At 41.1% G+C, this 27,215-nt stretch overlaps 1 protein-coding gene across 15 annotated transcripts in view; it reads left to right on the top strand.

The window, feature by feature from the left end:
- The window catches only part of ATP10B (ATPase phospholipid transporting 10B (putative)), a 366,241-nt gene that overhangs the window by 228,262 nt on the left and 110,764 nt on the right, over positions 1 to 27,215 (top strand). For 10 of the 15 annotated variants that reach the window (XM_017009252.2, XM_047416995.1, XM_011534468.3 and 7 more), the window contains 2 exons: positions 13,005 to 13,299; positions 14,826 to 15,020. In XM_017009252.2, coding sequence (XP_016864741.1) covers positions 13,025 to 13,299; positions 14,826 to 15,020 — 470 coding nt within the window. In that variant the 5' untranslated portion in view covers positions 13,005 to 13,024. Of the gene's footprint in view, positions 1 to 12,155; positions 12,340 to 13,004; positions 13,300 to 14,825; positions 15,021 to 15,707; positions 16,265 to 27,215 lie in introns of those variants that run through there. The other 5 variants (XM_047416996.1, NM_001410822.1, NM_001366658.2 and 2 more) reach the window with 2 other exon arrangements.

The following is a 27,215-nucleotide window of genomic DNA, read 5'->3' as shown; positions in this document are numbered from 1 at the left end:
TCACGAGGCCAAGTAAGCACAGCTAGAGATGAGAGTGGCCTGGATGGGTGTGTGGCAATGGGTCCAGAGGAGAGTGAAGCAAACAGACACACATGTAATGGCTTACAACCAACAGGACTTGATAATTGATTGGATATGAGAGGTAAAAGAGGAATCAAAGTCTTGGGCAACCGAAAGGGTAGGGTTGCCATTCCATGAGAGAGGTAATAGGGGGCAAGTGCAGATGTAGGGGTAAAGATACTGAGGCTGTTTGGAGGCAAACTGAGATTGACGTTCTCAGGAGACATCCAAGGGGCAATGTTCAATAGACAGTTGGATCTTTCTTGAAATTCCTCCCTACTTTGGGACTAGAAGTTTGAAACACGGAGACCTTTTGAGAACTCTGTTATTATTAATCTAATAAAAGAGGAAAAATAATAAAGTTGAGAGGGTTCTGCTATTTTTTGGAAGTGTGAGAATGTCCAGCCCAAAGCACCTATGAAAAAGTAACTCAGACAAAACAGAGGAATGAAAAGTTCTCCATTTCTGAAAAAAGAAGCAGCTACTTAGCAATTATGTGCTGTGAGATCACTTACCTTTCATGGAGAGTCCAGGCTGCCGTTTGGGGAAGAAATAGTCTGCCCTCTGGAAATGTCCCTTAACATGGTCATGCATCCCCCTGGACTTGACATAAGTCGAGGTGAGAATTAAACTTGAGATGAAAGTGCTAGAGATGTATATGGGTCTTAAGGATTACTTAGTCCAATTCTCCCATTTTACAGAGGAAGAAACTAGGGCCCAGGGAGAATGACTTGCCCATGGCCACACAGCTGGTTAGTGGGATATAGAAGCCAGATATCTTGGCTTGTCTTACCTTGTCCTTTAACGCTTAGATGAAATCACTTGAATCCCCAACCCAGATCCTAAGGAACATCCAGTGCCACTTCCCCCACAACTTCTAAAATTCCTCTGGGACTTATGTTTTTCCCAGTCATCCCTGGTTCTGATTTCCAGAATTTTCTGTATTTCTCATTCTCCACTCTTTCCTGTGGCTTTTCTTTAATCATTTCCCTTTGGCCTGAAACCAAAGAAGGGGACAGCCCCTTCTTCATGACTTCTAGACCCCCAGTCAAATGATGCCTTTCATAGTTGACAATTCTATTTTGTGAAGTTTCACTAACAATTTTAAAGTAACATGGAAGGACATTATATTATATTATAATATTTTACATATTTCTAAGTGAATATTGACTTTTTAAAAAATCTCTCTGCCCTTTTCTGCCAACACAGACACCAAACCTGCTACCATCTTATCTCTATTTCTCATGCTTTTGCCAGCTAATTTGCCCTCCCTTTCCCTCCCCCTTTTCCTTTTCTCCTTAATTCTTGTCCCTTTGCCTTTTACCCCAAATGCTGATTAAAAGTATATTCCTTCCCTAGGAAAACTCTGAAGGCAGCCACTATCATATCAGTTTTTCTCACTCCATTTCACAAATCTGGTGCCACATTCTCTGTGCTAAGCCAGATGCCTAGTCCATTAAGGAAGCTGCTCCAAAATTTCCCAGATCTTGCTCCATGCCTGCCCCCACCTCAGTTCTTCCGGGGTGTACTAATTGGTATGTAACTCACAGACCATGGATATGTTTGAAGTGAACTGAGCCAGTCAATGTGTACTATTGTCTTTTAATTGCTTTCAGCTTCATGAACTTTGAACAACTTTTATCACCTCTCAGCTCAGCACTGATTCATCCAGCTTCTGTGAGAGATTTATTTACTTTTAATTAGATCCAACTTAATTATTTTGTCAGTAAAACATACCAAAAGAATCTATAAAACAATTTTTAAGTGAAATCACATTTCTGCCTAGAGGGATGTTAAAAATGAAATTATGCATCTCATTTTACCTGTCTCTCACAAAGGAAATATTGCCTGCACTGTCTTTTTATTTCCCAAGATATTTTGCCTTTCATTAGGAAGATACCTGGGAGATCAGGCTTAGAATAAAGGGAAGAAAATGGGAAAAGGTAGTTCGAGTTTTCAAGGGAGAACACATAGGTGAGCATAAAAGGCAGTGTCTCTCCAGATTTGCTATTTGGCAACCCCTACATTAGAATGACCTAGGAGCTGGTGAAGAGTGCAGATTTTCCACCCCCATCCCCAGAACTTCTGATTCAGGGGGTCTGACATGGGGATGAGAAGTGAAGCTTCTCATTTGCCTATTCTTGTGCTTTCTGGATTCACGCCTGCCTCTGGCTACTCAACTCTCTAATTCACTAATTGGCTATTTCTACTTCCCCAAGACGCTTGCCTTGTCCTTCTCAGTCAACTGTGTTTTCTTACATCTCTAACAACTTCTGGTCCTTACTGTCTGCCATTCTTTCAATTTCCCATTGGTAGCCTATTCAGTACCTTTCCATGTATATATATATATCTCATCTCCCAACCATTTTATTATGTCAGGGACTCTGCATCACTGATTTTCCTCTCTGCACTTCACCTTGTACCCTGCTTTCAGTTCTGGGCTCCCTTTACAATACCAATGTGTCCAAATGTCTTTAGCACACCAGTGTGTGAAAGATCTCTTCTGTCATCAAAGAATTTACAACTTCTGCCTGATAGTAGCTATAATTCTGGTATTAATTAATCGAGAAAATATATAATTGCAAATCCTACCATAAAATTAATAATGCCTTTGAATAAAATTATAATATATTAATCTCAACAGTATCTGCGACACTTAAAAATAGTGGCTTGGCCAGGAGCAGTGGTTAAGAAGAAAATGGATTTGAAAAATATTTAAAGGGAAAAAATGGATAAAACTTAAAAATAGATTGGCTGTAGTAAATGAAAGAGAGGTCAAAGGTTACTCTTAAGTCATTAAGGTAAACAGAGATGCTATTCACGGAAATGGGTACTCCTGGAACTAAAGTGAATTTTGGAGAGAATCCAAGAGTTTTACAATGTTAAAGTTGAAATACCTAGAAAACAAGTAGAAATGGCACATAAGCAGTAGGATATTTTGATGTAAAGTTCGAGGGAGAAATCCGAGCTCCAAATACACCAAATTGGAGACTAGCTTGCAAGATAATTTGTGAGACTCTAAACTCTAATGAACTTGGCAGGTGATAAAGTGTAATGTGGCAGATGAGAAATATTTTCTTGTCTGTTAAAAAAATATTCATCTTTGGAAATCTGTTGGAGTAAAGCTCTTATGAGTTGGGGAGCTAGGAGAAAACCAATCGGGGGTTAAAAGCTTTAATTGACTCAAGGACTAGTGATGAGGGCTGAGTGTGGCATGCTGAAGATGCTTGAGTTATGGAACAGACTCTCCTTCCATCTTTCCTTTCCCACAAAGGCCCATTCTATAGGATTACATTTATCATGTATTTTAATTATCTTCTACAGAACTGCATCCTTTCATTAATTTTATTTTAGGTGGTTGCTATTTCTTTCTCACTCTCTCTTTTCCACTAGTCCCCACTTTTACCAACCAAAGACAACAATCCCCACCCCACCCCACCCTGCATACATTTCTTCTTAATGTTTCTTTCTCTCTAGAGGAAGTCAGCTTCTGGCATCCTAATTATAGGACATGTTTTGTAGCCTGTGAATAAGGCACAATCACAGCTCTTGTTCTTCCCATTGGGAAGGACAGAGCACTTTTTTGTGCTCATAAGAACTGATTCCATACAAGCAGCTATATGTAGATGCCTGTAGCTGAGTACAGTGCAAATGGGAATGCTAAAGTTCGGCCTTCCCCAAGTCTTCTAGCCTATCCAAACTCCACTGCAGAATAAGGTCTCCGCTAAGACTATTCCTTTCCCACGAAGGCCTCACTGAATTTTCCTGGGCAGGTCCACACTACAAAACTTATGGAGGGTCTTTCAAATGGCAATTTCTGTTTTCTGGCATATTTGTCTGCAACTAGATATCTTTTTTGAATCTAAAATGTCATCAATTTAATAATACTTTGTGAGTGTAAGTAAATAAACACTAACATAGCAATTGTGTGAAACAATCTAGTTTCAAAAATTTATTAAAATGTGGAAAAAGGACATTTTGTATTCTAATAAATATAGCTTTTACTGAAATGGATTAGGAAGAAATGACAAGTTCTACAGAGAAATCACTCTATTCCCCTTATCTTTGTTTCTTCCTCTGTAAATGGGTTTCGGTAAAATCAGTAAAAGACTAAGTGATGGTCATTCCTCAAGCAAATCCAATCAAAATAAGTAGAAAAAGCAAAATGGATAAGAAATTTATGATGAGATTGTTTTACTGCAAATCATTCCTTGATCTACTACAATGCTTGGGTGCATGGATAGGAATCTGGCTCACTGAGTTTTTTTATTGAATTCAGGGTTGATGAAAAACCTGTTGTTTGTTGTTGTTGTTATTGTTTTGACTTTGTGTTGAGGGGAAGAAACTTGCAAACCATGTTAGCAGCCTTTCCTGCATTAGTAGGTAAGCCACAAATAATGGAAATGACTGATCCTTTCTGGGTGAGTGGTGATGTTTCTGAACCTGGTTCCCAGAACAGCAAATAGAGACATAGAGGTGTAGGCCAATGTTGTCATAAGGGATCAAGAGTTTTTATTTTAATAAAAGTAGTTCCTGTCAGTGCCTATTAAAAAAACATATCAATACTGTCAAACCACTTCATTTTGGTATTAAGGTTTAGCTCAAAACCAAAGTTAATATTGAAGCTTTTGGCCAGGCATGGTGGCTCATGCCTGTAATCCCAGCACTTTGGGAGGCTGAGGTGGGTGGATCACCTGAGGTCAGGAGTTCAAGACCAGCCTGGCCAAAATGGGAAACCGTGTCTCTACAAAAAAACACAAAAAATTTTGCCAGGCATGATGGCGGGTGCCTGTAATCCCAGCTACTCAGGAGGCTAAGGCAGGAGAATCACTTGAACCTGGGAGGCAGAGGTTGCAGTGAGCCAAGATCATGCCATTGCACTCCAGCCTGGGCGACAGAGTGAGACTATCTCAGTGAAAAAAAAATTGAAGCTTTTGAGAAGTGAGTTCACCTAAAGTAAAATATATTGCATTTAATAAAAATGCTATTTGGGTGTGGTAAAAATTGAGAAGATGATTCAAGAATGACTGTAATTTGTGAAAAACTGATATACTTATTGATTTGAAGATCTGCTAACTCCAGACTATTTCTTCTACAGTGGTTATTATTTGTTAACTAGATATCTAATAGGAAATCTTTTCTTTTTTTTTCCTGCGATTTACACATTTTGTCCTCAGGGTAGAGTGCTTTAAAAACGCCTGTAGTTAACTGAAGGCCAAACTTTTTAAAATTCTAATTCATTCTAATATCAGGGTTTTATATTATTTTATCAATAATCTAAGTATAGATTAAACTTAATTTTATAGATTTTTCTCCCATAGTCCTAACCCACTGATATGCTTTTTAGAGAATTGGGTATGGAGGAAAAATAATTCTCTAGTAAAGACTTATTTCTGCTTTTTAGCCTACTTGGGTCTTCTATCCATTCTTGAAGTCAACATGTTTACTGTAGCCACAGAAGACTTGCAACTATGGCTTTGTCTTCCTAGGATGCTTACTTTCAGAAACACAGCACATACACACACACACACACACACACACACACACACTCACTCACGCATATATACACACAGTAGTACTCCATCCAGCCACCTCTCACTCATTCCCTGATCTCAGTTCAAGCCCCACCTCTTGGGACACAAGGTCCCATCCCTCTGTAATGTGCTCACTGCACCCTCTCTCTTTTGTGGTATTAAATAAAAATTACAGGAGGCCATTGTTTTGGACAAAGCTAGGCCCCAACAGACTAGACTAAAAATTAGAGTGGAGTCATTTTCACTAAACTAAAACTAAATTGTTATCAACCTTCAGAGAAATCAAGAGAGAGACATAATTTCCCAAATAGGTCAGTTTCAATTGGTATGAAAAGGAAGTTGCCCCTGCCTTTAATCCTTACAATAAAAGTAACCTGATGTTACCCAGTCAGTTATTTTTCTATTGTTCTGTTTCCTGTTCCTCCCTTACAAGGAAACTAATTTTGAAATGACGAAATCATTTTTGTTTTGTGTTTCTGCTTTCTTCAGCCCTTTCTATAAAGCCAATCTCCTCTGCTCAGCTCATTGGAACGCTGATTATATTTTATGAAATGAAGTGCTGCCCAATTTTAGAACCAAAAATAAAGTTAATTAAGATCTTTAAACCTGTTGTGATTTTGTCTTTTGACAGTGGCACTTTTCCTGGTTGGTGAATATATATTTATTTCTAAACGTGTATGTTTAAAATCTCCCAGACACCTAATGTAAGCTCAGGCAGAAAGGGATGCATGGGTAGGTTTTACTCACCTGGTATATAAACGAGGATTCAATAAGTATTTGTTGATTGAATGAATGACTAGTTGATTTATCCCGTAACAGTGAAAATGGAACTTGCTAGAGATGGGGTTTATTTGGGCTCATTAAAATGAAACAGAAAGGAACTGGAGTCAATTGGAAATGTGAGCCAGGTAACGTGGAGAAAGTTTGGGAGAGAGAAACAGAATTCCTCAAAAAACTGAAGTTAGCCCAGCTTGTTAGGCTAAAGGTCCCCCATATAGGATTGTCTTCTTATCATCTAGAGGACATTGTACCTAGAAGAGAATAAGGCTGGTGCTTGAGAGGATTATCACTTCAAGCCTGAGGTGATCTGAGTATAAATTAGCAAAATTAGGTAATCCTCAAGTTATTTTTAGTGGGAGGTGCCATTTCAAAAATCTAGAATGAGACAAAGGCTTTACAACTGGAAGGAACTTAGGGAGTTCTTCAGGTGTGCCCCACCCTAAACTTTCTGCAGGCAGCAATAAACCACACCTCAGATAATGGGATTATGCAATCCCTCTTTGTTTCCTGTTCCACTCTCAGGAAGAAGTATTTTATTTGGAGGGGAGAGGGGCAGTGGGTCAAAGAGCTGCCTCTAGCCCCCAGTTTCGGTCCCTCCAGCCCACCCTTATGTGCTTCGGCCAGAATGATGCTTGGAATCCGCACTCACAATGTGTCATTTCCCTGGCACTCTTCAGACTCTCTCTTGCCCTCAGCATAACAGCCTCAGCAGGCCATCTGACCCTGGGCTGTCTCTCCAGCCTCAGCTTCTGCCCACTCTTTGTCTCCCGTTCCATGTACTCTACACCAGGAGTCCCCAGTCCCTGGGCCACGGGCCCATAGCAGTCCATGGCCTGTTGGGAACCATGCTGCGCAGCAGGAGGTAAGTGGCAGGCGAGCATTGCCTGCTGTCAGATCAGTGGAGACATTAAATTCTCATAGGAATGCAATGCTATTGTGAATTGTGCATGCGAGGGATCTAGGTCACGCCCTCCTTATGAGAATCTAAGGAATGCCTGATAATCTGAGGTGGAACAGTTTCATCCCAAAACTATCCCCCAACCACTGTCCATGGAAAAATTGTCTTCCATGAAACCAGTCCCTGGTGCCAAAAAGGTTGAAGACCTCTGCTCTATGCAACACCTCAGGAACTTCTTCCCGTTTCTGGAACTCGTTCTTCTACCTGGAGCACTCTTCCCCAACCTCTCTACCTAGCTAACTCCTGCGTTTCTTCAGGTAACTTTAAATAAATGTTCCTTTTCCCACGAGCCCTTCCCTGACTATACCACTGTGTGTGTGTGTGTGTGTGTGTGTGTGTGTGTGTGTGTGTGTGTGTGTGTGTTTTCTGACCCATGGAAACATCTTGCCCTTTACCTCTAAATACTTTGGGGTGGATTTCCTAAAACCAAGAGTGTTTTTATGTATAACCACAATATAATTATCAAAATCAGGAAATTTGAGATTGTTAAAATGCTATTACCTAACTGTAGTTTATATTCAGATTTTGCCCATTGTCCAATAATGCCCTTTATACCTATTTTATCTTCCTCTAGTATAGGATTCAACCGAGAATTATGCATTACATTTAGTTTTTATTTTTAGTTTATTTTAATCATAAACAATTATTTTGCCCCTTTTTTGACCATTTACACTTGAAAAACACAGGCCAGTTGTTTTATAGAATAGCCCCCCAATTTGAGGTTTTTTAGTGTTTCTACCAGAGAGGTAACTCATGTTCTCAATACATCATATCAGGAGGCAAAAGATGTCATTTTATCTCAATATTTGTGATACTATAGCCATAATAGGTCCAGCGCCCAATATGTGCAGCAAATCAATATGCCAAGATGTCAAGTTGCAGGAGAAAGAGATTTAATTGGAGGGCTACCGAATAAAGAGATGGGAGGAAACCTCAAATCCACCTCCGTGAGGAGTTTGGGGCTAAAGTTTATAAGAGTTTTAGAACAGGCAGAAGTGTGAAGATTGTTGATTGGTCAAAGAGTGCAGGGTGAAATCATAGGACAGACAGATGAAGAAACTGTCCTCATGCTGATTCTGTTCCTATGTGGGGTCTTCAAACTGGTTGGCGTCAGCTGTTTCACCGGACTTCAGAATCTGAAAAACATCTTCAGCAATTCTTAAACAAAAGCTTTATGATTCTAACATCAGAAACTCAATCTTAAACAAAACCCTTATGACTCTAATGTCAGAAATCCTATCTTTAGGAGCAATGGGGAAGCAAATGGTCAGGATCTAGTGACTTTCAGTTACAAGGAAGTAGGTCAAAGTGCAGCCTGATTAATGCTTAGTTATGACTCTATTTCTGTCCAGAATTCTTGTTAGCCCTGTGAGGACAGCTTCAATACTTGCTTTGATCTCTGTTGTAAGGTGGTGTCTGCCACATTTCTCCACTAAAAAGTGATTCTTTTTATCATTATAATGAATAATATTGGGGGAGGATACTTTGAAACTATATAAATATTTAGTTCCTCATCAAACTTTCATTCACTAATTTGGCATCCAAGTTATATCTGCTTTACTTTTAAGGAAGCTCATCTTACATGGTTAAAAAAAGTAAAGACTATTCTTATGATAAATGGACTTTTAATCCTACTCCACCGAAAATAACTACATTTCCCACATCAATCCAATCTCTTCATTTAAGAAGATCTTACCACCTAATAGTGAGAGAAGTCTGATATGGATGGCATTAACCAAGGCAAGATTTCTCATTTGCATTTTCAATGCTATTCATAAATTATCTTTTCATTTCCTTTTCCTTTGCAGTAAAAAAGAAATCCATGAAGGTGCATTTTTTATAATAGCAAAGAAGATACACAATATTATTTCCAGCTTGCTAAATGTTATAAGGTTGCTTTTGGTCACATTATGATAGGCATCCGTAATTACATTTACCTTTTCAGGCTTGCTACAAGGGCTTACTTAGTCTCTGAAGAGCTTCCTGCAGGCTTGGGGTCTGTGGACTGAAAATCAGTTGGATTGACGAAAGCTATGAGAAGAATTATGATGAGGGTCAGATCATATGGGCATCAGGAAAGTAAAATATTACCATTTAAACTAGAAATAAAACTTTTTTTCCTAAGTGATCATATTTACCATGACAAGCTGGGTAATTAATTGTAAGATTAATAGTACTTGACATTCACTCATCCACTTATTCAAAAGAAAATTATCCTATGAGCCTACTACATGAGAAGGACCATTATATACAACTTCTAACTTTATAAAATGTATCTTTGAATAATATCCTTCTGGGTCTTTAAGAAAAATTTGGCCAAAAAGAACCTTGAGAGTTTGCTTGTAGGGTTTATTTAAAAGAGTTCAGAAACTGGAAACTCCTAGGTAAAGCAGCATTTTTTTTAATCATTATTATACTTTAAGTTCTGGGATATATGTGCAGAATGTGCAGGTTTGTGTACATAAGTATACCTGTGCCATGGTAGTTTTCTGCACCCATCAACCCGTCATCTATATTAGGTATTTCTTCTAATGCTATCCCTCCCCTAGCCCCTAACCCCACAACAGGCCCTGGTGTGTGATATTCCCCTCCCTGTGTCCATGTGTTCTCATAGTGCAACTCCCAATTATGAGTGAGAACATGTGGTGTTTGGTTTTCTGTTCCTGTGTTAGTTTGCTGAGAATGATGGTTTCCAGCTTCATCCATGTCCCTACAAAGTATATGAACTCATCCTTTTTTATGGCTGCCTAATATTCCATGCTATGTATGTGCCACATTTTCTTTATCCAGTCTATCATTAATGGGCATTTGGGTTGGTTCCAAGTCTTTGCTATTGTGAAGAGTGCTGCAATAAAGATACGTGTGCATGTGTCTTTGTAGAAGAATGATTTATAATCCTTTGGGTATATCCCCAGTAATGGGATTGCTGGGTCAAATGGTTCTTCTGGTTCTAGATCCTTGAGAAATCACCACACTCTCTTCCACAATGATTGAACTAATTTACACTCCCACCAACAGTGTAAAAGCATTCTTATTACTCCATATCCTCTCCAGTATCTGTTGTTTCCTGACTTTTTAATGATCACCATTCTAACTGGCTTGAGATGGTATCTCATTGTGGTTTTGATTTGCATTTCTCTAACAACTAGTGATGATGACCTTTTTTTCATATGTTTGTTGGCCACATAAATGTCGTCTTTTGAGAAGTGTCTGTTCATGTCCTTTGCCCACTTTTTGATGGGATTGTTGGTTTTTTCTTGGAAATTTGTTTAAATTCTTTGTAGATTCTGGATATTAGCCCTTTGTCAGATGCATAGATTGCAAAAATTTTCTCCCATTCTGTAGGTTTCCTGTTCACCCTGATGATAGTTTCTTTTGCTGTGCAGAAGCTCTTTAGTTTAATTAGATCCCATTTGTCAATTTTGGCTTTTGTTGCCATTGCTTTTGGTGTTTTAGTCATGAAGTCTTTGCCCATGCCTATGTCCTGAATGGTTTTGCCTAGGTTTTCTTCTAGGGTTTTTATGGTTTTGGGTCTTACCTTTAAATCTTTAATCCATCTTGAGTTAATTTTTGTATAATGTGTAAGGAAGGTGTCCAGTTTCAGTTTCTGCATATGGCTAGTCAGCTTTCCCAGCACCATTTATTAAATAAGGAATCCTTTCCCCATTGCTCGTTTTTGTCAGGTTTGTCAAAGATCAGATGGTTGTAGATGTGTGGCATTATTTCTGAGTCCTCTGTTCTGTTCCATTGGTCTATATCTCTGTTTTGGTACCAGTATCATGCTGTTTTGGTTACTGTAGCCTTGTAGTATAGTTTGAAGTCAGGTAGCATGATGCCTCCAGCTTTGCTTTTTTTGCTTAGGATTGCCTTGGCTATATGGGCTCTTTTTTGGTTACATATGAAATTTAAAGTAGTTTTTTCAAATTCTGTGAAGAAAGTCAATGGTAGCTTGATGGGTATAGCATTGAATCTATAAATTACTTTGGGCAGTATGGCCATTTTCACGATATTGATTTTTCCTATCCATGATCATGGAATGTTTTTCCATTTGTGTGACCAGTGGTTTGTAGTTCTCTTTGAAGTGGTCCCTCACATCCCTTGTAAGTTGTATTCCTAGGTATTTTATTCTCTTTGTAGCATTTGTGAAGGGGAGTTCACTCATGATTTGGCTCTCTGTTTGTCTATTATTGCTATGTAGGAATGCTTGTGATTTTTGCACATTGATTTTGTATCCTGAGATTTTGCTGAAGTTGCTTATCAGCTTAGGGAGATTTGGGGCTGAGAATATGGGGTTTTCTAAATATACAATCATGTCATCTGCAAACATAGACCATTTGACTCTCTCTCTTCCTATTCGAATACCTTTATTTCTTTCTCTTGCCTGATTGCCCTGGACAGAATTTCCAACACTATGTTGAACAGGAGTGGTAAGAGAGGGCATCCTTGTCTTGTGCTGGTTTCCAAAGGGAATGCTTCCAGCTTTTTCCATTCAGTATGATATTGGTTGTGGGTTTGTAATAAATGGCTCTTATTATTTCGAGATACTTTCCATCAATACCTAGTTTATTGAGAGTTTTTAGCATGAAGGGTGTTGAATTTTATCAAAGGCCTTTTCTGCATCTATTGAGGTAATCATATGGTTTTTGTCATGGTGTCTGTTTATGTGATGAATTACGTTTATTGATTTGTGTATGTTGAACCAGCCTTGCATCCCAGGGATGAAGCTGACTCGATGGTGGTGGACAAGCTTTTTGATGTGCTGTAAAGCAGCATTTCTTTGCCACCTGGGCAGACCATCTGCTTAATCAAGTACTTGGTTTCAGAAACCACCAAATGGAGTGGAGAAAAAGAAAAGGGATCCCCTATCCCCAACTCCAGCCATCTAGATTAAGAAAAGCCAGCTGACTGGACAGTAGCACAGCCCAGTCACCTCATGGACAAATTTCCTAGGAAAGAACCTCTCCCATCTATTCTACTTATCACTCTCCTTTGAGGTTCCGGCCACAGGTGAGTTTCTGGAAAATGTCATCAGAATCAGAAAATGTTAGCGCCAAAGAAAACCTAAAGAATAGGTACCTTTTCCTTTGTTTTAAGATGTGTCCCAATATATTTTTCTGTACTATCCAATTTGTTCCTCACAAAAATCTTGTGGAATAAGTATAGAAAGAATAGTGTTCCTGATTTCACAGTGAGGAAGCTGGAGATCAGTTGAAGGTGAAGGAACAGCTCCCCACTAGGACTGAACCAGAGCTAGTCTTCTGACCTGCAGGGTCATAGCCCAGCAAGCCACACTTTAGCTATCCCTGACAGCCCCAATTAGGCCAAAAGCACGTCCCACCCACTTCAATGCTCCCATGGCACGTATTCCAGTGTTAGGAGCATGTTATTTATGTGATTATTTGTTTAGTGTGTCACCCTAGAACATAGGGATTCTAACCTCAGATACTCAATCTTAAACAAAATCCTTATGACTCTAATGTCAGAAATCCTATCTTTAGGAACAACAGGGAAGCAAATGGTCAGGATCTAGTGACCTTTAGTTACAAGGAAGTAGGTCAAAGTGTGGGTTAAGACTACTTTCAGTGTCTACCCTGCATGGATGGGGGAGAAATGAACAGGCCAACATGCTGCACGTTTCTCCTAAACATAGCTCCTCCTGTGTCTGTTTTCAGATCTTCGCCTGCTGCTGGAAATGGCCCTCTCAGTGGACTCATCGTGGCATCGGTGGCAGTGGAGAGTCAGAGATGGCTTCCCCCATTGTCCATCGGAAACCACACCGCTGCTCTCTCCAGAGAAAGGGAGACAGAGCTACAACTTGACACAGCAGCGGGTCGTGTTCCCCAACAACAGCATATTCCATCAAGATTGGGAAGAGGTCTCCAGGAGATACCCTGGCAACAGAACCTGCACAACCAAATACACCCTCTTCACCTTCCTGCCCCGGAATCTCTTTGAGCAATTTCATAGGTAGAGATCCACTTGTCTGAACAATACTCTTTTTAGAGAAAGAGTCTCATTCTGTTCCCCAGGCTGGAGTATAGTCGTGCAATCTCGGCTCACTGCAACCTTCACCTCCTGGGTTCAAGGGAATCTCCCACCTCAGCCTCCCAAATAGCTGGGACCACAGGCGTGCACCACCATGCCCGGCAAATTTTTGTACTTTTATGTAGATATGGGGTTTTGCCACGTTGCCCAAGCTGGTCTCTAACTCCTGGGCTCCAGTGATCCGCCTGCCTCAACCTCCCAAAGAGATGGGATTACAGGAGTGAGCCACCACACCCGGCCACCAATACATATTTTAAACAAGTATTTACCACTTAGATAAACTCAGAGATGCTACCCTCTGGGGGCCACCTTTCCTTTAATATCCAAATGCATTTGTCTTAAGAAGTTTTTTCATTCATTCTTTCATTCAACAAATATTTGTCAGGTTCTATGCTGTCTCAGGCCATAAGCTGGGAGCTAGAGATACATAAAAAAAATGGAGAGGCAGAGAGATACTGTCCTTATTGAATATATTGTCTAGTAAAAGAGACAGACATTAGTTTTTTAATTATATAAATTGATATAAAGTTGTAACTACAATAGATACTTCTAAGGAGAGGTATATGGTGCTATTATAGTGAATAATAAGGAAATCTTGGCCTAGTTAAGAAAGTCAGGGAATTGAAGTACAACATGAAAGAGAGACTGCATTACCTGAGTGAAAAGGGATGGACAGAAGTCAGCAGAATGTTCCTGCAGACAGACCTGTACATGCAAAGGCACTGTGGCAAGAGAGAGCAAGATGCACGTGGAAAACTTGAAAACATCAGCAACTCTTTTGAGATAATGTATGAGATCATTTTAAATTAAAAGTTAAAATATGTGCTTATATATCACCCTCAATATTGTAATTATTATTATAAGTGACCATTTACTGAGCAACTGCTATGCTCCAGAGCCCTCTGCTGTATATCATGCAAATATTATAAATCATGTAATATTTATGGGACCCCTTTAAAGTCCATAATACTATCCCCATTTTGTGCAAGAGGAAATAAGCTCAAAAAAATCACACAACGAGTAAATAACAGGAACAGAATTTAAATCTAGATGGTTTTCCATTCCTGAGAATAATCATCTCCAGTCTCATCCATAAGCATGACAAAACAAACTTTGGGGACTTAGGGGGAAAGGGTGAGAAGGGGAGAGGAATAAAAGACTACAAATTGGGTGCAGAGTATACTGCTCGGGTGATGGATGCACCAAAATCTCACAAATCACCACTAAAGAACTTACTCATGTAACCAAACACCACCTGTTCCCCAATAATCTATGGAAATAATAAATACATCTAGATGGGTTTGGCTTCAAATCCATTACCATAATGTTTGAGGTGATACTGAAAGAGAAGGTTTAATTGATCAAGGCCAAACAGTAGGGAAGAAATGGGGGAGAAAGTACATTTTTCTTCTCCATAGTGTTTATTCACACTTCGCTTGCCCCTCCAGATGGGCTAACCTCTATTTCCTGTTCCTGGTGATTTTGAACTGGATGCCCTCCATGGAAGTCTTCCACAGAGAAATCACCATGTTACCATTGGCCATTGTCCTGTTCGTCATCATGATCAAGGATGGCATGGAGGACTTCAAGAGACACCGCTTTGATAAAGCAATAAACTGCTCCAACATTCGAATTTATGAAAGGTAAGAAAAACCATCCCTGTGTTCTCTCTTGCAAATGGGTTAGGCAAACTCATCAGCATAGCCTCAGGATGAGTCTCTTTTCTTCGATTTTATTTTCCTAAATTATTTAATTCACTGATTCTCAAGGGGGGGTGATTTCGACCCCTAGTGGGCATTTAGTAATGTCTGAAGACATTTTTGGTTGTCATACTGGGAGTAGGGGGTACTACTGACATCTAGTGGGTAAAATCCGGGGGTTCTGCTAAATAGCCTACGATACACAGGACACCACCGGGGAACAATTATTAACCAGTCAAAATGTCAATAGTGCTGAGGCTGAGAAAACTTGTTTAAGTTGTATAAGCACTCATATTATTAAGCACACAGATGCAGTATTATTAAAGGTGAGTTGAAAGCTTAAGAATTAAACTCTAGGATGGCTGGATTATCTTGGGAGACTAAGTTCAGGAGAAACTCTTTGGAGGATGTCAGGCAGTGTCTCCCAAACCAAGAAAATGTCTGCCATTTTAAAGCCTCAGTTGCTTGGGTTGAAAATTCTTGCTTTTAGAACCAGGTAGGTTTTAGGACCCAGAGTTGGTACACCTGTTCTTGGCTGCCCAGGGTGGAAAAGGAAGACACCTGTAGGTGACGTCTACATTCCAACAGGTGGAGTCTCAAACAAGTAGAAGGAAGTGGCCTGGTGGATACACACCTGTTCTCTGCAGGCTCTTTCCTTGTCATGTTTCTCCCCTGGGGTTTGCAGCCTGGCTTTTCATTTTTAGTATCCTTCTGAAAGAAGAGAGAAAAATTTTCAGCAAAGAAGGCAAGTAAAAGATGAAAATTAAATTATGAGAATTAAAAAGACAACATTGAGCAGAGATGAAAAAGGAAGGGAGGAAAAGGTGGAAAAGAAAAGAAGACAAGAAGCGAGTAGTGGTCTCTAACTTGCTCTTTGAAGGATGGTCTCACAAAGAGAACCCCAACAGACATCATCGTGGGAATCAAATCAAGACCAGCAAGTACACCGTGTTGTCCTTCGTCCCCAAAAACATTTTTGAGCAGCTACACCGGTTTGCCAATCTCTATTTTGTGGGCATTGCGGTTCTGAATTTTATCCCTGTGGTCAATGCTTTCCAGCCTGAGGTGAGCATGATACCAATCTGTGTTATCCTGGCAGTCACTGCCATCAAGGACGCTTGGGAAGACCTCCGGAGGTACAAATCGGATAAAGTCATCAATAACCGAGAGTGCCTCATCTACAGCAGGTAAAGCAAAAAACTCTGGGGAAGTCTTGGGCCCAGCCTGATCTTTTTGTGGCTGCTATCACTGCAGTTACTGTTTGTAGAAGGGATGGAGTAGGGAGATATCATTATTTTATTTCAGGGAAGCTGTTCAGTTCTCTACAGTGAGCTTTATAGTCTACAATCCAGAAAAAAGGAGGATTGAGTCAGTCTTTTAAAATTAGGAGGTCTTTATCATGTAGCATTTTCTTCACTATTTCAAATGTGTCTAACATTTAACAGTTTTGCATATATTCTCATCTCCTCTTAACCCAGTGTGGCCATGAGCACATTTAAGGCTGGTTGAGGACACTGGGAGGGAAGAGGCATCACTGTATTTGGGGGAGCAATGGAGTATTGTGTTAGGAGAAGCACAACAGGAGACACACTGCCTGAGTTGAACAGCCTCCAGTACTTACTAACTGCCTGACTTTAGACAAGCAATATAACCTCTGAAATTCATTTTGTAATTCCTAAAATTTGAACAATTCCTGAGGTGGTTGTGAGAGTTGCAGGAGATAATTCTTAGAAAATACTTAGCACAGTGTATGACATACAACAAATGCTCAGTAAATGCAAGCTGAAATTGCATTATTTTTAGAATGTCAAACCCAACGTTTCCTTCATCACTAACTCTGTTTTTGGGAGTTCTCCCTGATGTTGTCTTAACCAAAGCAAAGACTGCACACCACCTGTCCTGAAGCTGAGAAACCTTGTTTTAACTTGTGTAAGTGCTCATATTATTAAGCACAGAGATGCAATATTTTTTAGGGTGAGTTGAAATCTGAAGAATTAAACTCTAGGATGACTGGACTATCTGATGTCATTAGACATTTATTTAATGTCATTTTATACATGTCATTGTTCTACAAAGGTTTCATTGAGCAAATGACTAAACTAGGTTGTCAGGATAGGACATGCTCTCACTTGGCAAGGAAAGAAGACAGAGTTAGAGTGTGTCTCAACTTTGTGATAACCCACATAGTCCTAAAAGAAGCAAGGGAGTTGAGTCTGGGCTCACAGAGAGACTAGAGGGACAAAGCACCTTCAGAGCTAGCAGTTGGCAGCCTAAGATGATGGAGTCTCTAGCAGGTAAGAGCTTGACTTCTTGCTGAAGAAGGAAAACATCCATGTCTCACAAGCAGCACCCTAGGCCATCTCATTCCTTTTGACTCTCCAGCCCAGTTCAGCAGACATTCCGCACTGGCTCTGGTCCTTGTTAGAATGAAAGAGGCTTGCTTCGAGGTATGTACTCCAGCCATTTAGGCACTGCTTACTTCTAAGGAGGGGTTCTCTTCTCCAGGGGAGTGAAAGGTGGCCAGCTTAGAGCTGGCTGCTGAAAGGATTTATGAGTCAAACTCCACTTGGAAAATTGTAGCCAGGGGAAACCTCCAAGATGAGTATCTAATACAATGACTTTAGATGGTATTTACCAATATCATCCAAGAACCCCTGCAAGAAACTCCATGTTCATCCCTCAGCAGCAAATGAGCTTCTTGTCTCTTTGCTTGGAGGGACACAGTTGCACGTTTAGAAAAATTAATCTGAAGGATAATTTTTTTTTCCAGCTAGATCCAATTGTCTTGAATGTTATGAGCACACTGGACAGCCAGAGTTAACATTTAGTCGTTCCTCGCCTTTGAATATGAAAATTATAAAGAGAGGATGAAATCACTGCTGGGGTGTGATGCCTTCCTTTGAAAAAGCGGTGTTTGAGAAAGCATTGTTTTTCTTTTTTTTCTTTTCTTCTTCTTCTTTTTTTTTTTTTTTTTTTTTTTTGGGGGACAGAGTCTTGGTCTGTCGCCCAGGCTGGAGTGCAGTGGCGCCATCACAGCTCACTGCAAGCTCCACCTCCCGGGTTCATGCCATTCTCCTGCCTCAGCCTCCCGAGTAGCTGGGACTACAGGTGCCCGCCATCACGCCTGGCTAATTTTTTGTATTTTTAGTAGAGACGGGGTTTCACCATGTTAGCCAGGATGGTCTCAATCTCCTGACTTCGTGATCCGCCCGCCTCGGCCTCCCAAAGTGCTGGGATTACAGGCGTGAGCCACCGCGCCCGGCCGAGAAAGCATCGTTTTTCTTTTGGCACCAATCCACCGTCACTTTTTGTTTTCCACCTTACTGTCTTGTTTTTTTTCCATGGAATATACACAGTGGCAAGCCAGGAAGCTGGTGCCTCAGGGAGGAATGCACGTGGGCTGCAGTGAGCCTGGTCCTGTTCTCCTCGCTCTGCCAGAATATCGCAGAATCATGGCCTGGTTCTTGGGAATAATCTCAGTGTGGATTAGACCACAGACTCATCTGTGCTGGGAGCTGGCAGGACCTAGGCCAGGCTGCTGTTGTTGTTTCCAAAATAGCTTCCAGGGAACATCGGAAAACCAAGATGATAACAATCTAGAAAAAAGAAACATTAGTCCACCAGCTCACTGGCAGGGAGGAGCATGGAGTTTTCATAGCAGTATTTCCCAAAGTGTATTCAGTGGAATAACAGTGACAAAGAAATAGTCTCCGAAAAAATACGTGCATGGCCAAATTATATATGCTGGCCCTCCTCCAATGGACCCATAGCCCATGAAGGACTAAGAAAAGACACAGCAAAGAAACCTGTTCATCTTTGATTAACTCAGTGTTGCTTTACATTTACTGGGCTTTGGAAATATTTTTTAATATCTAAGTTTGGGAATTTTTACTTTTTCAAGTATACAAAAATAATTGGCTACAGGGACCAGATAGGTAATTAAATGGACTGAATAGTTTATAAAAAGCAGTATTACTCATGGACTGATAAATGGCCAATGACAGTTGGCATCAGTGTTAGGAGGCAATAGGGAATGGTGGTGACTATGGCAAAGTGGGGAGGCCATGCATTTATCCTAGGAGGCAGAGCTGGTCACTTAGCTTCTGCTAATTGTTATTATGTAGAAGTACAGGCCTAGTGTTGTTGCCAGATTGTCTGAGCTTTATTAGGGCAGCTAAAAATTAATATTTTTATTTGAAATAACCTGACTTTTAACTGATTTTATATTATTTTGTAACTGATGTAATTTTTTCAAACACTTCAGACCTATTTTTTTGAAACCTAAAGTTCTATTTTGCTTATGAGCCCAAAAACTTGCAAACTTTGCTTCAAAATATTCTAGAAATCTGGAGTCTCTGCAAAAGAATAATAAGTTTCTTTTTTTGTTGATGCTTTTTTGAGGTGGGCAGTGGGGGCAGGGGTCTTGGTACGTTGCCCAGGCTGGTCTAGAACTTGGCTTGAGCTGTCCTCTTCAAACTCCCAAGTAGGTGGGATTGCAGGCATGCCATCACTTCTGGCCCTAGGTTCTTCTTTTGAAGTTCATCCTCAAGGGACAGAGAGAGGGTATGACCTTGAGGTAAGAATGCAGGCCTGGGAGGCAGAGGCCTGTAGTCTAGGCCCAGATCTCAGACTAACTATTAATAGCTTAGGAAAGTCATTTAAACATATAGACCTCAGTTTCCACTTTTGTGAAATTTGGGAGTCAGACTAGATCTTGTCCTGTGAGATGGACTGAGGAAGAACAGAACCCATAGCCAAATAAATTTACACATTAATAGAATAAAGGTTCTAGGATGACCCTCAGTAAGTAGCCTATCAGCTTTGTTTAACCCAGCTGTCAGTTGAGATGTTCTTTGCCACAAGTAGGAGAAACTTCCATTTTAACAGGTTTAAACAACGAAGAGACTTCCTTGGCTTAAGTCATTACAAGTGTCCTGAGGTAGGAGGGTGATCAGCATGGTTCAATCAGCGTCCTAGATCCAGCTCTCACCAATCCTTTTCATTCAGCCCTCCTCAGTGTCATCTTAACTCTCAGGGAGACTTCTCTCATGGCAACGAAATGGCTGCAGCAGCTCCAGCCCTCACATCTACATGTGATCATGTATGAAAAGAGAAAGAAAGACACTTCTGGTAGCCATCTTGGAAGGTCAAGGAAGCTTACTACTCCCTAGAGCCTCCTCACATCTCAGTGGCCTCACTTGTTCATCCCTAAACCAATCCCTAGGGGCAAGAGATGGGATTGTACTAACTAGGTTATACCTGAGCCACAGTCCCCACCCACAGAGCCCAGCATGAAGTCAGCTTCCCTGAAAGCCTATGGGCCATTCCAGGAAGATGTAAAAGCCAAAGTTTTTTTAAAAATAAGATAGTTTCCAGCAGAATGAGGAACAGATGTTGGAGAAGCCACCTCAATGTCCTCAACACTATCACTTTAAAATATTTTTGAGACTTGACTCTTTGTAAATTGCTTTCCACGTATTAGCAGGAATATACACATCTTGGGACATTCTATACTATATGTCCCTAAAGTTTTTCCACCTCTGAAGTGGATTGATTCTATGAAAGACCCCAACAGAGGAAGCTAAGACATGCTATTAAATAGATAAGTGTTAGTTATTATCTTAACTGATGGATGCTAAAAGACATATCCTTTTGCCATATCAAGGACACATGACAGATGTCAGGAAAAGAATACAAGATTTAAGAGGACAATTTTTTTTTTTCTGGGAAGCAACATAAGAAATTACATCTCATGCCCTAGCCCTATCCATTTTATTTATTTCACCTCAAATTTACACATTTGAGCAACTGATGCTTTTTTTTTTCATTTTTGTGCAATTGAATACTAGAGCCCTTGGAATTTTGCTCATGACCTAAGCCCATGCATCATCCACCCTAGACTTGTTTATACTGTGAGGAAATGTCTTTTTACAAACAGCAGAAGCCTTGTTGACAGAATTACAATCCCGTTAGAGCATTTTCTTTTAATATAGCAACCGTGTTTGTGGTCTAAAGGTGACCCATTAATCAGATTTATGGAATGACTTCGAGGAGAGATTAGCTTCAGAATTGTATTAGTTTAGCTTCTCCCAGGGCTCAGTTTAATGAATCTAGAAACCATACCAGCCACAGATTTGTATTTTTCCATCCAGCTTAGTAAATTTTTATTTGTATTCAGAAAACATGCAGTACAGAGCAGGGAATGGGAACTGAGGGAATCCAGGGTGGTTCCTTATTGTAATGAAACCTAAGCCCTCCACAGTTTCAGCAGCTGGTCACTCACTTATTCATCTATTCAGCAAATTTTAATTCAAGACTTAGTGTGTGCATTGCCATGGCAAACCTTATGTGCCCTCAAAGGACTCTCAGTCTAGGGGTCACGAGGAACTTACAAATAGCTACAATGTCCCACGTGCTTCGGTAGCCTACCTGCAAAGGGACACAGAAGTGCAGAGGATGTGGTGACCCACCCACCTGCAGAAACGTCAAGGCCAAGGGAAGCTTTCAGTAAAAGAAGTAAAATTTCAGGAGAGCCCTGAAGGAGGAGCAACATTTAGCCAGGCAGAGGGAACATATTTCAGCTCACAGCCTGTTCCTGTGTCAATGAAATGTTGTATGTGTGGCTTATGCTGGTATTAGAAAGACCAGGACCAAGAAATGATAGAAACTTAGTGGAAGAATAATATAGATTATATATTTTTTTAATCTGACTTTTTACTGAGACTTGGAGCATCTGTCTTCTGTAAGTCAGGCAGCTGCTAAAATAAACAGCTTTCTGACAGCGTAGCACCGAGGGCCTAGCCTGGCCTGGCCTGCAACCTGTTTTCTTTTGTCTGTTTTCTTTTGTCTGTGAGTTTGCACCTGTGTCCTCAGGGAAACCTACAAGGGAGGAAGCCAGAGGTCCTGATCCTGGTTATGTCACTAATTAACTACATGACCTAAATGAAGCCACTTAAGCAGTTGGGGCCCCATGTGTTTCATCTTTAAATAGTGATCATAATATCTCTCTGGCATATTTTGTGAAAAGGTGTTCAGATGACATATAAGAGGGCTTGAAAATAATGAAGCTATAGAAATAAACTTCAGGATGCAATGCCACAGGGTGAGTAAAGCAATGACCTTACTGGATGCTTGGCATGGAGGGCTTTGACATGGGACCTGGGCTTTTCTCAGAGCTGCCATTTACCAAATATGTGGCCTATGCAGATACTTGGTCACTTGAGCCTCCATTTCAACCTATATAAAATGGGGCCGATACTAGCCCCTGACTCCCAGGGTCATGTGGATCCAATGAGATTATCTTTATAAATTGTTTAGCTCAGTGCCTGCACCATAAGTAGTACTAAGTAATTTTTTTGTTTTTTGTTCTGTTTTGTTTTGTTTTGAGCCCAGGCTGGAGTGCAGTGGCGCAGTCTTGACTCACTGCAACCTCTGCCTCCCGGGCTGGGGATTCTCCTGCCTCAGCCTCCCGAGTAGCTGGGATTACAGGCATGCACCATCATGCCCGGGTAATTTTTGTATTTTTAGTAGAGACGGGGTTTCACTATATTGACCAAGCTGATCTCAAACTCCTGGCCTCAAGTGGTCCTCCCACTTCGGTCTCCCAAAGTGCTGGTATTATGGCGTGAGCCACCACGCCCAGCCAGTAATTTTTTTTTTAATTTCCAATCATCTCAAGCTTAACCTTTTCAATGCCAACCCCAGCCTGAGGCTTTATCTTTTTTGCTGTGTGTCCTACACATACAAGGGTGGAATTGCTAGTTCTATAGTTTTAGTGGGAAAAGCCAAGGACATTCACTGAGCCACAGATACCAGTGGACAGGGTTATAATGATTTAAAAGCAAAATCTATGCTTTGCGCTCTCATTTTTCCTGCTAGTCTATGTGGCAGAATTTTAAAATCTGAATTCAGCAAAACTGTCTAGAGGTTAGCCCTCTTTCTTTTATTTCTGGCCACAGCACACTTGAACATACCCACACCAAGATTTAGATTCAGAAAAGGGATGTAGGTGGCCTCATCTGGCTCATAGCCTCAGCCACTTGGTCCAACTCAACTTCTTAACATAGACTCTATGTTAGAATATCATATTTGTACAGCTGTTAATAAAGCTGCAATTTGGTACTAATATTTCCTCTGAATAACAGCCCTCAAGGAAACCCCCAAAAGAAGATGAACTGATTGACCAGGCAGAATTTAAGCTTTGCCAGGGCTATCTGAACATCAAAATACAGTCATAAGCCTATCTTTGCCCTAAAAGTATATTCTGGGGTTGCTGCCTGCAGGTATTAAATGAGTTACTGCATGTAAAATGCTTAGCTTTGTGCCTGTGGCACTCATAAAATGTTAGCTTAAATATTGCTAAGGAGAGTTCGGTAGCCTTGATAGGCAGAAGTCATCACGAGCTTAACCCAAGGGGAGTAAGAAAGAATGACCACAGGCTCGAGTTTGGAACTGCATGAAAGAAGACAAAAAAATCTTTAACCATAGAACTCGACTCCAAGCTCTAATAATATAACAAAATGGGCCTCGGGGAGGACTCTGAAAAATGCAGACAACAGAAAAACATCCATTATCATTCCTGGCTATGAAAAGTGCAGTTGGCTGGACTTACAGACCAGCAGACCATTGCATCCAGCCTTCAGGCCTTTGCTCTACACTTGGCACCAACAAACCAGGCTCCTTTCTGAAGCATCCATTTTGCAGGTGCCCATGCTACTCCCACTGCCTCACCCTGTGCTCACAGAAGGCCATAAACCATTTGGGCGAATTCAGCTTGTCATTTCAGGAGAGAATGCTTTAGGTCCTCCCCAAAACTCACTGGGTGGGAGAGTCATAAAACAAGAATTCAGGTGTCCCTGATGCTCCGCACTCTTGTCATCAGGCATGATTTGTATGTCCACGGGTAAGGATTTATGGCCTCTGTTTTGCCATTAAGGAGATCAGAATTCCAAAAGGTGAGGCTCCTGTTCTCAACCCAACCTCTGCTAGGTTTATGTCACCTTCTTCTGAGGCTCAATCAGCTTCATGCCTCACTCCAAAACAGAGCCACGAGACCATGCTGAGCCATGTCACTCCCACCACCATCACTCATCTGTCCTTGTAGACACACCTGTGTGACCTTATGCAAGTTAGATAACTTTCTGAGCCTGTTTCATCATCTATGAAATAGGGATAATGATAAAAATAAAAGCTATTCCATTATTAGGCAGCTAACCTGTAATGGAGGTTAAATGCTGGGTTCATTATAGGTAGTCAATACATGTAAGCTAATAATTTAAAATATCATTGTTAGAAGTCTCCACTAGGGTATCTATAACAAAGATGTTAAAATGGCCAAAGGTTAGGAAAAACTGCCTTTCTACTACCTGTATTCAAGAAAAATATACAAGGAATCAATTGATATTTACTAAACACTCCCCATGTGCTAAACACTATACCCAACCCTATGTGCATATAGAAATATAAGACCCAGGATCATCGCAGCTCTTAGCAAGCTTCTTACGTACTTTAAAATAGAAGATGCACACGACAATTAGGAAATAGGATGGTAATATACAGGGAAGTGTGGCAACAAGATGTGCACCGTCATGTCCAGTGCCCAGGAGTGAAAAGAGAAAGGCAGCATTTGGATCTGCAGAGGTTAAAGGATGAGCATTTGGGAGGCAATTCATATCCTTGAATACCCCCAGGCTGAAGAATCGTAACCCATGGCTATGATCTTGCTGGATGGCACCTGTGACTTCCATGTCCTCTGAAGCACTGTGTTTCCATGGCCATCACTGCTTAGTGACATTCTATGTGCAGTTCTGCTTTCTTTACTGCCACCACATGGTCAAAAAGGTCAGGAGTGGGTTATCCCCAGACCTGGGGCTTCAAACATCCTCCCAATATAAAGAACTTTATACTGTATTAATGTAACCCAAATGTTCCAGCCCTCACTAGCTTCTGGGTATGAATGAGGTCCCATTAATAAAAACGTCCCAGTGACCATGCCATTCAGCTCCAATCTGCTGACTTAGAACCTCAGTCCTCCCACCCTAATCCTCAGCTCTCCACAGATATATCTAGGCATCCTCAGATTGGTAAATATCACATGTGTCCTCCACTATTTCCAGCCCAGCCAGGGGTCCTGGTCGCCCCCCCTCCCCCACCCCCCTGCTTCTCTGGCCTCAGCTGTTTCTTTCTGGTGCTTCCCTGAGCCCTGCAAGTCTAATCCACCTCCCCAACCCCATTGTGATCTGTAGGTCACACAAGTTGTAAGCAGAGAAGCCAGGATTCAAAGCCTCTCTCAATCCCTATGCTGCAGTCACTCTGTCGGGCATTCCTCTCTCACCCTGGGTTAGTGACATGGCACTGAGCATTCTGGGCCTGGCATTCGAGCTTCCTGAAGGACAGCCAGGCCAGCTCATCATCCTGTGTGGAATGGGAAGTTCCACAAGTTAACTAATCCTTCTGAAAAATCCCCTCTACTCTAGTTGCCTGAAACTCTCTTAATAAAATCCAGATGCTTGAGAAATGGAGCCTTCAGCATCCTCTCCTCCCTCTATTTCGCCTTTCACCTGCTCCCCCATGGCATCCAGTTGGCTACAAACCTCTCTTGCTGTTTATTTACCTCTTAATAATCCCTATCTCCTCTCAGAAAGCCATTTAGCACTGCACCACTTAATTTTCCTCGTGGCAGAATCTGCCAGATGGAGCCTTCATCCCGAGCCATGTTGATTTGTCTTATTTTTAAACAGCAGTGAACATGGCATAAAACTAAAATAGCAGTCAGTTCCCAGGTGTGGACCCTCTAGTAGGGGGACAGTCCAGGGTGTGTGGATGTTTCCACCTGGGGCAGCTGTTCGAAACAGGCTGGATTAATGAGAGAATGACTTCTGCAGGCGGCTCCTGGCCAGCTGCTGGTCTCCCCTGGGCTTCACTCCATGCAAGAGCATGCTGCTTTTCTGTATCAGCAGGATTCGGCCAGTCATCACCTCCCCTGACTGAACCCCCTTGGGCTGTGTGCATCCCTGACTTTTCCACAGATATGGTCCTGACAGTGGAGGAGACAAAGTAGATGCTAGAGAATCAGCATAAAGTGGCCCAGGGCAAGAAGGAAATATCCCTGATCTCATTTTTTAATCCCCAAAATTCCTACAAAATGTGTCTCTGATTCCATAACATAACTAAGTTTAGTTACTATAAATAAAATTTTTCAAATTTTGTACTGGCCAAACTACTGAACTATGTTTCCCCTAAACTTTTTTTTTTTAATGAATGCTCCCAAAGTCATATGGATCTCATAGCTTTATTATTCCTAGATGCCTACCAGGGTATCCTGGAGGTATGTGTGCTTCTGTTTGAGAAGCTCAACCCTGGAACTGGGCTATCTCTGTCTTGGGGAAGGCAAACCCACAACAGTCACTGAGAATATTTCTTCACCACTGCATGCGATCCTAAGGAAGAGAGGATTATGTCTAAAGAAAAGACAGGCAATTATAACCAGTAGAGCAGTGACCTCCTTGGGATCCAGCAAGTAATGTAAAGAAGAGAGAGACTAGTCTGACTTACCACTTGTGGGTGGCTCCTTTGATACTTAGATCATGACAGGACTTGACAGGACAATACTCCAGCCCAGCTCACAGAAGTGACAGCTCAGAAAAACACATATGCCACAAGCTCCTCTCCATAGCACTCCATCTTCCAGCACCTTTATAATCCACATTCTAGAATAAGCAGTGCAGTCCTTTATTACAAAGGGGGAGAATGAGATTCAGTGTTCATGGGTGGAGGTGCATTGGCCTTGCCTTTGATATGCCTCTGTATGCAGATACTGGCCAACGAGTATTTATCAAAACCAGTTTGCTCTGGGAGGGTTGGCGATCAGGATTTGCTCAGAGTGGAAGGTGTTCTCCCTGAATCCAATCTCAAATACTGGGTAGAATGCTGAGATTATAGCAGTCAACTGATACCCCACATCCCCAAAGGCATTATCCAGTAGGACACAGAAGCCAAAGAAGGGAGAAAAAAAAGGAAGACAAGACAGAATGAGTGATACATTCTTTGTTCCTTGGGACAATTTTGCTATAATATTTAAGAACACTTTAAAGCACTCTCTCAAAAAGAAAAAAGAAAACCAGTCTCTCCTTCACTCTA

The sequence above is a fragment of the Homo sapiens genome, chromosome 5, assembly GCF_000001405.40.
Source record: "Homo sapiens chromosome 5, GRCh38.p14 Primary Assembly".
NCBI classification, from domain to species: domain Eukaryota; kingdom Metazoa; phylum Chordata; class Mammalia; order Primates; family Hominidae; genus Homo; species Homo sapiens.
This window is presented reverse-complemented; position numbering and strand designations above follow the sequence as displayed.